The sequence below is a fragment of the Homo sapiens genome, chromosome 4, assembly GCF_000001405.40.
Source record: "Homo sapiens chromosome 4, GRCh38.p14 Primary Assembly".
In the NCBI taxonomy this organism is placed as follows: Eukaryota; Metazoa; Chordata; class Mammalia; order Primates; family Hominidae; genus Homo; species Homo sapiens.
This window is the reverse complement of record NC_000004.12, coordinates 71,463,803-71,479,364: the sequence shown is the minus strand read 5'-3', so window position 1 is coordinate 71,479,364 and position 15,562 is coordinate 71,463,803. Positions and strand designations below refer to the sequence as shown.

General features: G+C 35.7%; 1 protein-coding gene across 13 annotated transcripts in view, besides 1 other annotated feature; it reads right to left on the bottom strand.

The window, feature by feature from the left end:
- The window catches only part of SLC4A4 (solute carrier family 4 member 4), a 509,424-nt gene that overhangs the window by 92,719 nt on the left and 401,143 nt on the right, over positions 1 to 15,562 (bottom strand). For all 13 annotated transcript variants that reach the window (XM_024454268.2, NM_001440628.1, NM_001134742.2 and 10 more), the window contains 2 exons: positions 12,788 to 12,921; positions 6,395 to 6,666 (listed from right to left, as the gene is read on the bottom strand). In XM_024454268.2, coding sequence (XP_024310036.1) covers positions 6,395 to 6,666; positions 12,788 to 12,921 — 406 coding nt within the window. The remainder of the gene's footprint in view (positions 1 to 6,394; positions 6,667 to 12,787; positions 12,922 to 15,562) is intronic.
- Positions 5,680 to 6,879: an enhancer, noted in NCBI's record as "MED14-independent group 3 enhancer chr4:72338203-72339402 (GRCh37/hg19 assembly coordinates)". NCBI's record gives its function as "activates an origin of replication core promoter dependent on BRD2, BRD4, P300/CBP and CDK7 cofactors, and independent of MED14, by STARR-seq in HCT116 cells {active_cell/tissue: HCT116}" and the evidence as "EXISTENCE:reporter gene assay evidence [ECO:0000049][PMID:35650434]".

Below are 15,562 nucleotides of genomic sequence, written 5' to 3'. Positions count from 1 at the left end.
TAGAGCATCTAGAAGCCTCCTTATGCTGTGAATGACTTAAAGGTATGGAACTGGAAGCCATGGTTACTTCCAGACCAGGCTTGGTCTTACAGTTTTATACCAGGAAAAAAGCCAACTATTACTTGAAGATAATATAGACAGGGATGCACTTGGTTCCTGAGAAAGAATTTACTCACCTTACTTACACATATATTGTTAAGCATGTTCTCCTGGAACAGTCAACAATAAATCAATAAAATATATCCCTTTTGTTAACAATATAGTGTCTATCCCTTTGAGGCTATTTTTCTTACTTTTATAGTTCATTATTTTTAGCAAAGTTTCTTTTCCCTCAGGATGTAAAACTGACACCTGGTCAGAAAATTTTCTTTGACCCTTTTCAAAATATTAATGTGCCTTGAGTATATAGTCACTGCAAGATTTACACATTAGGCAAATGAACAGAGGTATTAGATTAGAAATTTATTTCCAAAGTTTGGATTAAATGAAACTCTCACTTTTGTTCATTCAAAAAGCAATTAACACTATTTTAAAAAACAATACATTTTATAATATGTGTTTGTATATGTGTGTATTCTACTTCACTGCAAGTAGCACAATTCTTTTTATTATCATTATACTTTAAATTCTGGGATACATGTGCAGAATGTGCAGGTTTTTTACACAGGTATACATGTGCCATGGTGGTTTGCTGTACCCATCAACCCATCATTAGGTATTTCTCCTAATGCTCTCCCTCCCCTTGCCCCCAACCCCCTAACAGACCCCGGTGTGTGATGTTCCCCTCCCTGTGCCCATATGTTCTCATTGTTAAATTCCCACTTATGAGAGAGAACGTGTGGTATTTGGTTTTCTGTTCCTATGTTAGTTTGCTGAGAATGATGGTTTCCAGCTTCATCCATGTCCCTGCAAAGGACATGAACTCATCATTTTTTATGGCTGCATAGTATTCCATGGTACATATGTGCCACATTTTATTTACCCAGTCTATCATTGATGGGCATTTGGGTTGGTTCCAAGTCTTTGCTATTGTGAATATTGCTGCAATAAAGACACTTATGCATGTGTCCTTACAGAACGATTTATAATCCTTTGGGTATATACCCAGTCACGGGATTGCTGGGTCAAATGGTATTTCTAGTTTTAGATCCTTGAGGAATCACCACACTGTCTTCCACAATGGTTGAACTAATTTACACTCCCACCAACAGTGTGAAAACATTCCTATTTCTCCACATCCTCTCCAGCATCTATTTCCTGACTTTTTAATGATCTCCATTCTAACTGGCCTGAAATGGTATCTCATTGTGGTTTTGATTTGCATTTCCCCAATGACCAGCAATAATGAACTTTTTTTCATGTTTGTTGGCAGCATAAATTTCTTTCAAGAAGTGTCTGTTCATATCCTTTGCCTACTTTTTGATGGGATTGTTTGTTTTTTTCTTGTAAATTTGTTTAAATTTTTTGTAGATTCTGGATATTAGCCTTCTGTCAGATGGACAGATTGCAAAAATTTTCTGCACAATTCTTAAAAAGCAGTGAAACAGGCCCTCAGAAAATTTTTGTTGATGAATGAATGAGAAGTAAAAAAGGACAGAGGACAGAAGAGAAAACAAGTGAAAGTTGGGGGGATGCCCATGTTCTTTTCCCTATTTCCAAAATTCTAGTATTTATGCTTTTGAATAAATTAAAGAGATTCCTCTTAGAAGAATTGAACACCTCGCCCCTAGACTTTAAAGCCTTTTTCTTAATGACTATGTATAATATACAACACTTTTGTAGCCTCGAGATTCAATGCAATAGTATTAAATACTCTAACTACAATGCAATGAAGCTTTAACTTTTTTTTGTAAATACAGCTTCAATGTTTCATATTTATCTATAACAGCACACTGGTTGTTAATTTTGGGGGAGAAGGCAGACTTGCAGTAGAAGCCTTGTTAGTATCTTTCCCTAGGAAAATTTATGGGAAAATTAAATGTTTGAAATCTTTAAAGAATACAACTATTATAAGATTAAACTCACTGGGGCATCTTTTGTAGGATAGTGAGAAATATGAAAAAGAACAAATTTTTACTCAGTGTCCATTAGGTGCCAAACTATTTTGCATATACTATCTCATTTAACCTTTATAGTAACCTCTAAGAATAGGCACAATCACTAACCCAGTTCAGAGTTTATCAAACAAAGAGATTAAGTAATTAGCCTAGTTCTGGGTAACACTGAAATTCAAACTCAGTTTTGTTTACTCTAAAGCACATAGTATTTACACTTTATCACATTAACATTTCTAAATTGGGGTGTTGGTGATGAAATTAGATATTGTGTATTATTCTTCAATTGGATATTTTTCAGTTTTCACTTTTGGCTTTTGAACTAAATTATCGTTTTTCTTACACACTCTGCTATGTAATCATCAAAGTACAGTGGGAAATTTAACATCCATTTCGTCTACTAATTAATAGCTATCCCATTTCTAAGAAAAGCAAATCTTAGCACAAAAACCACCCATGTATGGCATGTATCCACTCACATATGTCAAACTTTCTGACTGATTTTCCTACTAGCACTTGCAACTAAGCTTCCTTAGTTGCTCAGTAAACCTATGTATGTGACTTGGGTTACCAAGCAGTAGTTGGGAGCAAAATGAATGGAGAAAAAAGTGCATTTAGAAAAGAAAAATTAGGAAATGATTAGGCTTTTTGGAAGCAAGTGAGAAGACGAAAGAAAAAAAGAGAAAAGGAAGTGTTGCCTTGACAAAGCACACACATATAAAAAAGCCACAATATATTGTGGCCATGAAGAGAGGTTTCTTTAGTAATTAGTGGCCCCTATTTCCATTCCTGTAAAATCATTTCTCAGTTTGCAGGATCACGACTCCATCTGTGCAATTGCTGGTTCACTGTTACATACTGTCCCAGTGTTGAAAAACAAGTCATACGCCAGTTTAACTATTATTGACTCATTGAATTATTTTACTAAGAGTGCACGTTGTGATGAAAGGCCAGTCTTTTGTTATTTTTAGAATATTTACTTGAGCTCTATATGCAACTGTATTACTCTCTCACTATCATCTTTCAGTTTGATATCAAGAAATACTAAATTGATGATGAATGTATTCAGTTTGCTACCAAAAAGCAGTAAGGTTATGGAGAAGTATTAACATTGTCAAAAAGTACTAAGGTTATGGGGGAGATACACAATCATTAATCTTATGGGGTTTTGTTAAATATGAAATTGTCATGAAAGTGCAAATAACTATCCACTGCCTTTTTCCAAACCACAAATAGATTTCATCTCCATAGACTTAAAAAATTCTTCATGTTCACATATATATCTTTCATGAGTACCAATAAGAGGTACAACCAACAGTCTTGTTGCATAATGGGCCAACTGCCCTACAATGTATGCCTAGAAGGAAGGATGATGAAGATAGGTCTGTTTATTCTATTACTTACACTTCAAGGCTAAATACTAACCCTAAATTTTAAGGATCAGTAATAGCAATAATAATGGCAGCTAACAGTTGATTACTTATTACATATTAGAAACTGTCCTAAGAATTTTATCTGTAATAGCTCTTTCTTTTCCTTCAAAATAAATCTATAAGGTAGGTACTATTATTAACCTTAGTTTACAGGTTAGGAAGATGGGGCTAATATACCTTGGGAAAAGGAACTTGCTGAAAGTCACACATTTGGCCTGAGCCAAACCAGGACTTGAATACAGGATCTTCTGACTTCAAAGTCCTGTGACAGTACTTTATTGGTACCAACTAGAGGTAGCAGGAATTGTCAGAGTCCTTCTGGACAACTTCCTAGTTACTTAGCACTGACTTTTTACACAGCCTGGGAAAAACTGGACAAAGGAAAAGCTATCACCACTTATGTCAGCACTTGCTATGCAAGTGTAAAATAGATTCCACCCTTAACGTCACTTTTTCAAAAAAAACAAAGATCCTTCTTAGAAGGAAAATTACATGTAAAACCATAGTACTTTTTATAATTTGAACACATTTAGATATGTCTTCCTTGGTTTCATGTTACCTTCTCTGCCAACATCCAAATTATAAAACAACGAACACAAGTTTCCATTCGCCTCAGGTAGGTATGGGGTTGACATTAGATGTTTTTTTCTGTGTGACAGGTGTGTTGACAAAGCCCACATCTGGCTTCATGAATATCTCAAAGTGTTTTTTTTCCTTTAGAAAATCTTGGTGTATGATTACTCAAACCTGCCTAAGAAGTCGTAAATAAATAAACTTACACATATATTTATGTATAAATTAATAAATGTAAAGGAAGGCTGAAAATCTCACAATTAAATGTTTGTGAAGCCAATATTTTGAACAGCTGGACTTCCCTGAAGCACTGACTGAAGGGGGAGTTTTATCCCCCTTCTTTCCTAGGAAGAGCTCCATATAGTTGAGTGACAATAACATCTGTGTTTCTCTGGGGAGCACATTTAATTGATTCTAATAATAATATATATCATGGGTTGAATGACACATATTGTGCTTGTTTCCAAGTACTTTTTAAATTATCAAATATTTCAAATCAGTATACAGCTGAACGCTAGTTAGCTTTCATAACTATATGGCATTCTTATTAGTTTGAATCTTTAAATTTCTACTTTATATAACTTTCTGCATTGCTTTTAAATATGGGTTTTATTTTAATGTGTGCTAATTTATCTTAACACAAAAAGAATCCATGAGCACACAGCCCAACAATGCCCTAGCTTGTCATCAGTGTTACTGACTGCCTATTGTGAGGGAAGTAGTGTTCTCTTTTTTCTCAATTCAAGACACATATCAGTCTTCTAAGACTTCTTCACCAACGTAGCAGAGAAGAATGCATTGCATACCAAAATATCTAGGAGCAATCTGAAACAGCATGCCACAAGCATAAAAAGTAGTATCTTGCTTATTTTTTAAATTCATAAGCATTCTGCATTCTAGTCTATAACCATGTTTGTTTTACGGTAAACATTAAGAGCTTTTTCCTCAGAATCTGTAAGTCGCAGTGGATATTGCATGAATGTGCCCCACATTTGTGTCCCAGCCCTTTGAACACTGCTGTACTTCTGGTGCTAAAAGACCTTAGTAAAAAGTATGGACTGTATATCAATTTTTATTTTAAGGGACATAGACCTGTATCTAATTGCGTAACCTAGAATCACTAGTGCTACTAACATGTAATTGTCTGACACAAATGCCTATCCCTTTCTCTTTTTTTTTTTTTTTTTGACAGGGTCTTGCTACTCCCTCAGCCACTTGAGTAGCTACAGGTACGTGCCACCACACCCGGCTGGTTTTTCTATTTTTTGTAGACACAGGGTTTCATAATGTTGCCCGGACTGGTCTCAAACTCCTGGGCTCAAGCAATCCACCTGCCTCAGCCTCTCAAAGTGCTGTACAAAGAATAATACAGACTTTAATTCCTTGCAAATACTGCAATTTGAGTTAATTTCAAAATTACAGGCATGAGACACCACACCCAGTCCCTATTCCTTTTTCTATGAGAGAAGATCTAAAACAATTTCCCTCAAAGTAAATCCTTTTTTGAAATGCCTTTCATATTATAAAATGGAATTTTATAATGGAATTACTCCAAGAAAGAATTCCAAAGACCAAGCTGAACATTTTTTTATTTTTATTTTTTTGTGAAAAAGTTCTGATGTCAACTCATGTTTGGTATGATAGATTTTAAAGGGCTAAGATATAGAGAATCACATTCCTTTCCAGGAGTTACTTTTGCTGTTATGTCCTTCTGGATTCTACAATATAAATCTACTCCTAGAACATCACATTCCTTCTTTCATTTCTTCTTCTCTCTTCCTTTCTTTTCTTATTTGTCTAGTAGAGATAAACTATAAAATTCTACCAGTAGGCAATTCCAATCTGAATTTCTTTTTTTCATAATTTAATTCTTTAAATTATCTGAAGTGGATTAGTATCTTTTTCTTCTATAAGTTTAAAATCATGTATTAAAGGTTTACTTAAAGGAAGACATTCCTACACCAATAAAGAAGCAGCAAAGGATAGGTTTGTCACATATTTATATCTGTTAATACATGTATCCAGGTTTCCCCACTTATAAAATCAAGAATAATGTACACATGAATTCCTTGCAAATCCCACAGTTTGAGTTAATTTCAAAATATTGAGTTGGTTATGTTCACATTCCAGAGCTCCTGGTCTCCTTCCTGGTTGAATCATACAGCTAAAATACCTCAGGCAATGAGACATCAAATTCAGTAGCAGAGTTTTTCAGAGAAAAAAACAAGACTAATTCCTGAGGACCATGACAGCATGTTGAAAATTTGCAAGCATGGAGCCTACACCTTCCTCCAAATACAAAGCGAGCATAAACACAAAGCGTAATGCCCTCACCTGGGTCAGGTGGCACACAGGTACAGGAAAAGAGAGTGTTGTAGCCCACTTTGAAGTTGGAGTTGATGGGGTAGTAATCTGCAAGCTTGATCATCTTCTTGAAAGCATCATAGATAAAGATGAAGCTAATCAGAGAGGAAAAGCCCTCCTCCGTGAAACGTGTGAAGTATTGAACCAAGAAGCTGGCATCAGTGGCTACCAAAATGAGACATAGGAAGGCGGACCACAGGCCAATCCAAAGGCGAAACTCCAAATAGTCAAAATTATTGTCCCTGGAAAAAAGAAAGAAAAATGTTTAGATTCCTCCTCCTTGGAACACAAAGAATAATATAAAACTACCAAATGTCTACAGAAAGATTGACAAAAATACAAGATCACCTTTAGCCACTAAATGTGAAACTCTACTTTAGCCAGAAAGCACTAAGTTTAAGAATTTAGTTTAATGATACAATTTTTAAAATAGCAATAAAAGTTTGAGGAAAATGCATTGAAAGTAGTTATATCATTTATATGTGAAAACCTTATTATTTTTCTCATTCAAAAAATATGGTCCCTACCTTCATAGAGTTTATAGAGTAAACAATTTGCAAGCATAGCACTGGTACCTAGAATGTGTTCAATAAACGTTTGTATGAGTTTTATGGGTTCATAAAGACATGAAGATCAATATATTTTCTGTCCCTATGTCATCACGGTCTACTGAGGGAAACAAATCGATAAATGTAATCGCACTATAAAATACTAAGTGATAATGTTACAGAAGAAGGAGTAACTAATTCTGGCTGGAAGGAAAGATGAAGTCGCAGAAAAAATTCAAGGTGTTCAAGGATAAGTAGTAGAAACTTTCTGGACAGACCAGAGAGAGCAAGGCCAGGAAGAGGAAAAAATAGTTAAAAAGATAACGTGGCACAAGATGGCCTGTAATGCTCACTGTGTGTGGACAGTGTGCCACCAACATGAGGTGGAATTAGAAATATGATCTGTCATCAGATCAAGAAAGGCTGTCTTGCCATGCTACTGCCAGACCCTTCCACTTCTTATGAAGCTTGCTCACAGATCTGATATTCTTCTGCTGAAGCTGGGTGTGAAGCATCTTGCGACCAACATCTTTCTGTGTTTGTCCCACAGCAGACTTAGAATAGGCTACTTCTATCTAAGGAGATCACTGTCTTTTGAGGCCTTTCCCATTTCTTACAACTGATTGATTAATAGTTCAAGATTCACAACTCTGAAAGGATGGGTCAAGTGTTAATGTCTTACCATTTTATACTGATCCCTTTAAAATTATGTGGAGAGTGCTTTACAATGATTTTTTAAACTCTATTTATTTGTGACGAAAAAGCGGGTAGTAGGTATTACTTGCATGAGAATAAGAAATAAGTCAAGGATTGTGCATGCTTGACACTCTAGAACCTTGCTTTTAGACAATGAGTTTCTGATAACTGCTAATGATATATCTTAAAACTTTCCCATAGGCAGTCAACTCTCCACCTCTACCAGCACCAACCCAATCTTACCCAACCCACAGGTAAGTTTTTGCCTGATACAAACCCCCTCATTGATATCCTTACTGATATCTATACTCGCCTCACTCAAAGCCATTTTCCACACCACAGCCAAAATTATCCCTTTTAATGAAAGTCAGACACCCTAGCTTAAATCTTTCAATAGCTTCCCATTGCCCTTAGAATAAAATTCAAATTCTTTACCTAGCACAGTGCCTGGCACATAGAAAGTGCCCAATAAAGACTTGCAGGATGAATAAATGCATGTCTGTAACTTAAGACTTGGCTGAGACAGTTACTGACACTGACCTATGAACTATGTCTCATGCAACCAAGACATGACTGTTCCTATGATAGCTCAAAATTATAGAATATTAGAATTTAAAGTTCTTTAGGTACTGTGATGATTAATTTTATGTCCTGACCAGGCTACGAAGCACCCAGACATTTGGTCAAACATTATTCTGGGTGTTTCTGTTAGGGTGTCTTTTGAGAAATAAACATTCAAATTGGTGGGCTTTGAGTAAAGCAGATCACCCTCCATAGTATGTGGGAGGAACTCATCCAATCAGTTGCAAGCCTGAATAAAACAAAAAAGATTGACCTTCCCCAGGGCAGCAGAGAATTCTCCAGCAGACTGCCTTTGAACTTCCACAACATCAGCTCTTCCTGGTTCTACAGCAGACAGCCTTCAGACTCAAATAGGAGCATTGGCTCCCCTGGGTCTCCAGCCTGTCAGCCTTGTCAGCCTCTATAATTGCATGAGCCAACTCTTTATAATAAATCTGCACACACACTCACATTTTATGGGTTCTGTTTCTCTGGAGAACACTGGCTAATACAGACACCAATCTGTCAAATTACAACTCATTTTATAGATAAAGACACCAAGACCAATGGAAGTTAAATCATTTATCCAACATCAGAGTTTTAAGGCCTTTCCTGACAGAGCTTGACCAGAAACCAAATCTCTTGATTCTTAGATTTTCCTTTTAAAAATTGTAGCATGATTCCCCATCTGATTTGTATTTAGCTCTAGAGAGGGTGAATATTAAAGTCAATGTCTTTTGTTTTTCTCTTCTTATCTAATCATGCAAATTGAAATACATTACCGAAGAAGGAGATTATTAATACTGGGGTAAAGTTATCTTCAATAGACTTTATGGGATCCTTCTGAAGATAACTTTTACTTTCCTTTGCAGTTTGCTTTGTGTCCGGAACACCACTGTTTTCATCCTATGCATGCCTATGTGAGATAAGTAAACTATAGAAAAAACTGAGTTCTAGAAATTTGATATAATTTACATTATCATACAATGAGTCAGTGTCAGAATAACAACTAAGAAATACAGTTCTGTTACTTCTGAGACAACATACTTTTTCCTTAAATTAAAATAAAAATTTTAAACAATTACCTAGTTTTGCTACCCTAGCAAGAAGATGAAAGAGCAATCTTGATTTGTTCTAAGAATGCTAGTAGTTGTTTATAGATTTAATGTTTACAGGATAGGATGAGAAACAAATCCATTAACTAGCTAATGGTTAGGAACAACATTAGTTTGGGTACAAAGGAAAAGATACATGTATAAACTTAAACCTTAGAATCTAAACAATATGCTAAACTAGCTGCTTTAAAAGACTTAAGCAATACTACAGTAGTTCAACAAGAATGACCCAAATAAAGTCAATAAAACCAATGGCACTTCATTATGAAAGTGATATGTGTAGAGCATCAAGAAGAAAGAGGAATAAGGGATGAGAAAAATGTAAATAAGTTGATCATCAGTAATGATTACAGTAAAATGGTATTATTACATCCAATAAATTCCCTTGGTGCCAAATTTAAACAGCAATTAAGTTTTAAAAAGCAACAGGAAATGATATTAGAGATCAAAGAAGAAATTATGGTGAATTAAAAGGAAAAAATAGATTCATATCATTATGGTACCACTCAGTGTTCCTAGATTTTTTGAGTCATAGTTTCTCAGTAGCATAAAACCAAGGATACAAGACAAACTGAAGAAGTCACATCTGAAATATGCTACAGAAATTAATGTGCAGCCACTGACAAATAAATATAAACTCCCTAAAAAAATACATCCGGTAATATCATGGACGAATTAAAAATTTGAAGGCTTAAAAGTAAACTGTTTAAAGAATATAGGGAAAAATACTGAATGACCAAATGATAATAATACAAGTTAAAATCCAACCTTAATTGTGAAGTTTTTATATACCTTAGAACACATTGCTGAAACATCTTTCAGATTCCTCACCCAAGTAAAAAGAAGGAATCTAATTATTATTGTGATAAAATGTGTAAAAATAATGCAAAACAGATTGCAGAATTTGGGAAATAAAACTACAAGTATCTTTGAAAAGTTGTGAGCTATTTTCTTCCTTCTATTACTGATTTTAAGAGATGGCAGCATATCATTCATATTCCTTTATAATTCTCCAGTTTACAGGGCAAATATCAAAACCTCAGAAATAAATCCATGATTATGCAGAGTTTGAGTCCAGTGAACCTACAAAGCAAGGATCTACCTATTCTTCAACAGTGGTAAAATATGTTGGGGAAAATCTGGGCAAGACAAAGTAAAATAGTTCTTAACTGAAGGACTTTTTCAGATCACTTGCATGCTAAAGTCTAAAGTGAACTACCAAGAGGGGGGTATATAGTATACAGCACTTCCCAGACTTACTGGGACCACAGAGGTTTTTTTTTTTCATGGAGCATGGAATGAGTCTAGTAATTGATGAAACACACTTTTGGAAATAGTGATCTACCCAAATATTTTGTATCTAGACAGAAGATTATCACTGCTGCTGCTATAACATAAACAAATGATATAGCATTGAGATTAAAATAACGCTTGCCACATATTACTAAGTGATGGATTTAAAGCATGGCTTCTCAAATGTTTCTTGTTGATGTACAACTGTTTTCAAATAAATCACTTGGAACTATGTTATGTTACCAATTATGATAGAAAAAAAAGGGAGAACGAGAAAGGAACTTGCTTAGTGAAAGGAAATAATCTGTATCTCACAATTACTTAAAACAAACTGGGATGCAAACATTTTCTGTAGATTAAGGCTCTGATCACATTTCATCCAATAAATCTTTCTGCAAAGTTTGTGCATGTTTGTTCCTGTTTATAGTACATCCTTGTTTAATCTTTCCACAAAGGCTTTCTTGTCTCACACAATGTTTCCTTAAACATATAAAAACTGTTTGACTCTTTCTATAAACTAACATGAATAAAATTCTTTCCAATGTTCTTCTGAGAATTATGATAGAGAAGGGATTTATAATAATAATTACCTACAGAAAATTCACAACACTACTTAAAATTTGGAACTTTTTACATTCTCAAAAGACTCCTGCTGATATCCTCAACCCTGTTTTCAAAAAGCTGGTTTTAAATCCTCATTCCCTCCTCCATCTTATGACTATTTTTGATAACACACATACTTTCAAAGGCTATATATGAGTCCATAAGTCCATGATGTACTATGAAGGTAATGACAGTTCTAAAATTAAAATCCTAAAAATGTATAACAATATGACTATGGGAATGCCAACAAGGAGTGCCAGCAGGCCATGAGACATTCTTCAATCTACCTAAGGATTGAGATCTGCCAGTAAAGGCAATTCTCTCTTAGAGGTATCAACTACATTAGAAAGAGGCTGGAATACCCAATTTGATTTTGAATCTATTTGTGTATTAATGTGGCCACTTGGGGAAACTCACGTTTCCCCTTCTTAAAATGATCCATAAATTTCTAAAAGAAAATGCTGATATCATAATTGCAATGTCCATTAGAAACTTCTAGTGATTCCTGAAGAGACTTGGACTCTGGAGTCAGAAAGCAGGAATTCATATCCCAGCCCCACCGATGACTTGTGATATAATATTAGGCAATTTACTTATTGTTCCTGTGCTTGTTATTTCATCTATAAATCAGGATGTGGTCCCTACCTCACAGGATTGCTGTAAGAATTAAATGAGTTAGTACATGTAAAGTGCCTAGGATAATACTTGGTACATGATCAACTCTCAATAAATGTTAGGTATTTATTCAGCTGAGTTTTGGAAGCTATCTTTAGTTAAGAACATGAAACTGGGGTGAGGAGCAGTGGACTAAGTAAAGAGCATCCAGTCTCTTTCATTATTGAATGATGTGAACTTAATCAATTTAATTTCTCTAGCATGTCAGTCAGGATTATGGCAGGAAATAGAAGGCATTCTGAAGTAATAACAAATGGCAAGGCACTCAGGGACCATCAACAGCAGGAAGCCACTACTAACTTCAGGCTTGAAAAGGCCAAGGAAGGAATAGAGCTACCAGAGCCTGGTGAGGGCTAGAGTCAAGGTGGATGAGCCACTTGACAGGGGCTAAAGTCCTCGGGGATAAGCACTGCCAGAATGCTGTGCTAAAACAAAGACGGTGAGCTGGGGAAAGGCAGACATACTCAGACCTCTCTCTCTCTCCCTCTCTCTCTCTCTCTCTCTCTCTCTCTCTCTCTTCCCGTCTTGTTGGTACTCCCCATTAGCCAAACCCAAGAGGAAGCCAGAAGGCAAAGGGGCATGGGTGTTGCTGTCCACAGGCATCAGCCCCTAGAGCACAGGGCAGGACAATGGGAAAGAGAGTAAGTGGGAAGGGAGCAAGGATACACACAACATAAGAGCCTCAGTCGAATCACATCTGAAACAAGTGGTGACTACCTAATTGCTAAGGCCCTTTCACCTCTCACATCTGAACATTCCAGTATTCTGAGTGATTCTTGGATCTGCCTAATCACTATTCTATGCTCTATCTAGCCTATAAAGGTTCTACAATTAAGCAATTCTAATTTGCAATTAAATATGTATGTACATACTTGCTGAAATTAAATAGAAGCCTCTCAAAAACTAGGACAGGTCCGGTGCTGCTCAGAATAGTGAGTGGTTGACCAGCAAAAAGGCAAAAGATGGCTCCAGAGACAGCAGTGCCCAGGAAACTCTCCAACACGCCCTAAAATAAAGAAAATATAGATGTTAAATGAAACACATCTTTTTTCTTCTCATTTGTGATGTCACTAGGCAAATAAAGCCACGTGAATATACTATTAGGAGGGTCTTAGCAAACATATCAAGAATGAAGAACAAAGTCTTTTACCCATATGCATATTGCCACCACTTATTTCACATTTATTTCACCTACAATTTAGTCATGGTTCCCTACTCCAAGGGTCGACCTGCTCTAAAGCACTATAATTACTATGATGGCTGGTGTGTAGAAGGCAAAAGGTGGCTCCGATCCTTACTAAAATACTAACTGAAGCTTCTACACGTCAGAATCAAATGGTTAGAAGTGACTTGGTACTTTTGGTGGCAATTTCCTCTTTGTGGTTCCTTTCAGTGTTTAGCCTGATTTCGCCTTGCACATAGTAGGCACTTATCAGTAGCTCTCTTTTATGTACAAAAGCTATTTTTTTCCTAGAGAAACACCTTTGAAATAGAGAGGGGCACAAAGGGGACCAAAAAAGTGATTTGTCCTCCATTCTGCAATTTCTAAGACACCAATTTCAAAAGACATTCTCATTACATTTTCATTGTCCAATGTAAACTTATAGAAGAGCTTCAATTAACTATTTCTAGAGAAAATATATGTGCTGGAACATAAATAAGTAGTCTTTTATGGCCACATTTCCTTTTAGTTACATCTCTGGAAATCAACCCATCATTTTCCTTTAGAATAATAAAAACAAAGGTGACGTGTCAACGAGGATCACTGACTTACAAAACGATCCTAACTTTCCTAATCACGTCACTCAGGACCAATGCTTTCAAGGATGACAAACTAGGCTGTTTCCTATTTTTTCATTATTTCAAACTTTAGTTATTAGTTTAGTTAGTAGTTAGGTTGGTGCAAAAGTTATCGTGGTTTTTGCCATTAAAATAATTAGGGTAATGGCAAAAACCGCGATTACTTTTGCACCAACCTATAGACAAGCACATGTGTATTTGTAGGAAGGTTCTTTTGTAGACATAAAATAATATTTTATGAAGACATGATTTTTAAACATAAAAAGATGACAGAAACCCTTTATTCATACATGAAGCTATAAATCTGAACATTAAAACTTTTAAAATAAAACATTTTCAAATGAGTAAAGAAATTCTATAGCTTTAAAGGACACAATAATATATGCAGTGGTAGATAAAACAGTGGAGCAAAATCATGTGATCTCTTGGTATAGGAAGAGTTCTCTCTTCAATTAAACAATAAATTACATGTTGTTAGAAGTATGATTTATGCCACATAAAATAAGCCTTTTAATTGAAATGACCCCTTGACTGGAGCAGAGTGGATTTCTGGGGAATCTGCAGTGTCCCTCAGTCATTTCCTGTGACCCTCAACCTCCGAGTTAACCTATCCATCTGTCAGCCTCACTAGGCCACCTCTTACCACTGTCCCAAAAGTTCTCCAGCAACTTCTCATTCACTTATCATTTTTAAAGAAAATACAATATACATAAAATGATTATGAAGAAATTGTTTTTTAAATCAACTTACAAAACTTACACAGTAAGTGCCACTCAAAAGCTTAGGAGACCATTATTACAATAATTACTCAAAATATTTCTTACAACACTACTTCAGAGACAGCAACATTCTCCATAGATTGACATTAGCAATAGCACATCCTCCTATTTTAAGGGTGGAATTCAATTCAGAAAACAAACAAAAATCCTTTAGAGCAGCACTAGATAATAATGTAGTTGGGATGACGGTGGATAAAAAACAAGACTTGACAATTAAATAGTAAGATTGGCTTCTCTCATGGCAAATACACACACTCTGAAACAATCCAGAACAACTCCAGTTCATACACAAATCTAGGTTTGAAGCCTGGCAGGAAGGTCTCATAAGGACTTCCATTTACATGGATGTAGGTCCAGCACATGGCTGAAGGGTACCATCTCATTATTTATAGCCATTCCGTAGAGAGACTATCTTGCTCATTCTTCCTCACAGGGACAGAAACCAGAATAACAAGGAAGGGCAGCAGAACCAAGATGTATTTATGCAGAGAAGACAGAAAAAGGTTATCCTAGGCCAACAAATAGCATTTGCCTTGATTTCTGAAACATTTAGACATTGAGATTCAAGGGAGTTAAGTGATATGAACAAATTCACATTCAATGTGACACAACAAGTCTTTGGGTCTTTAGTGTATGTACTTGCCCAACCAGACTTCACCCCTGGTAAGGATAAAAGGTGTACCACAGACTAGGATTTCAACCCTTGTGCATAGACAGTGGGCTTTCTATGTCTTTATAATTTATCTTTCTTTTTTACAACTTACACCAGTGTATGCATAAGATGAAAGGTAGAAGCTTGAATGCTTCCTGTGGCAGGACAAGCTACACTCTGGGTGCATGTGATAGGCAGATATACTACAACATTCTTTATTAAGCAAAGAGTGATATTTCTTATCACTACTATGGATCAAAACAGCACTGACTGAGTGTAAGGGAGAATATAAAGGGGAAAAGAGCAATACAAAAGAAGAGATTTTTGCATTCTCTACTTGATTTGACATAGCTATTAATCTTGGGGAGGATAAGAACAGGGTCTTCTGGCATCATCCATGTTTCTCTTTCTCTCAT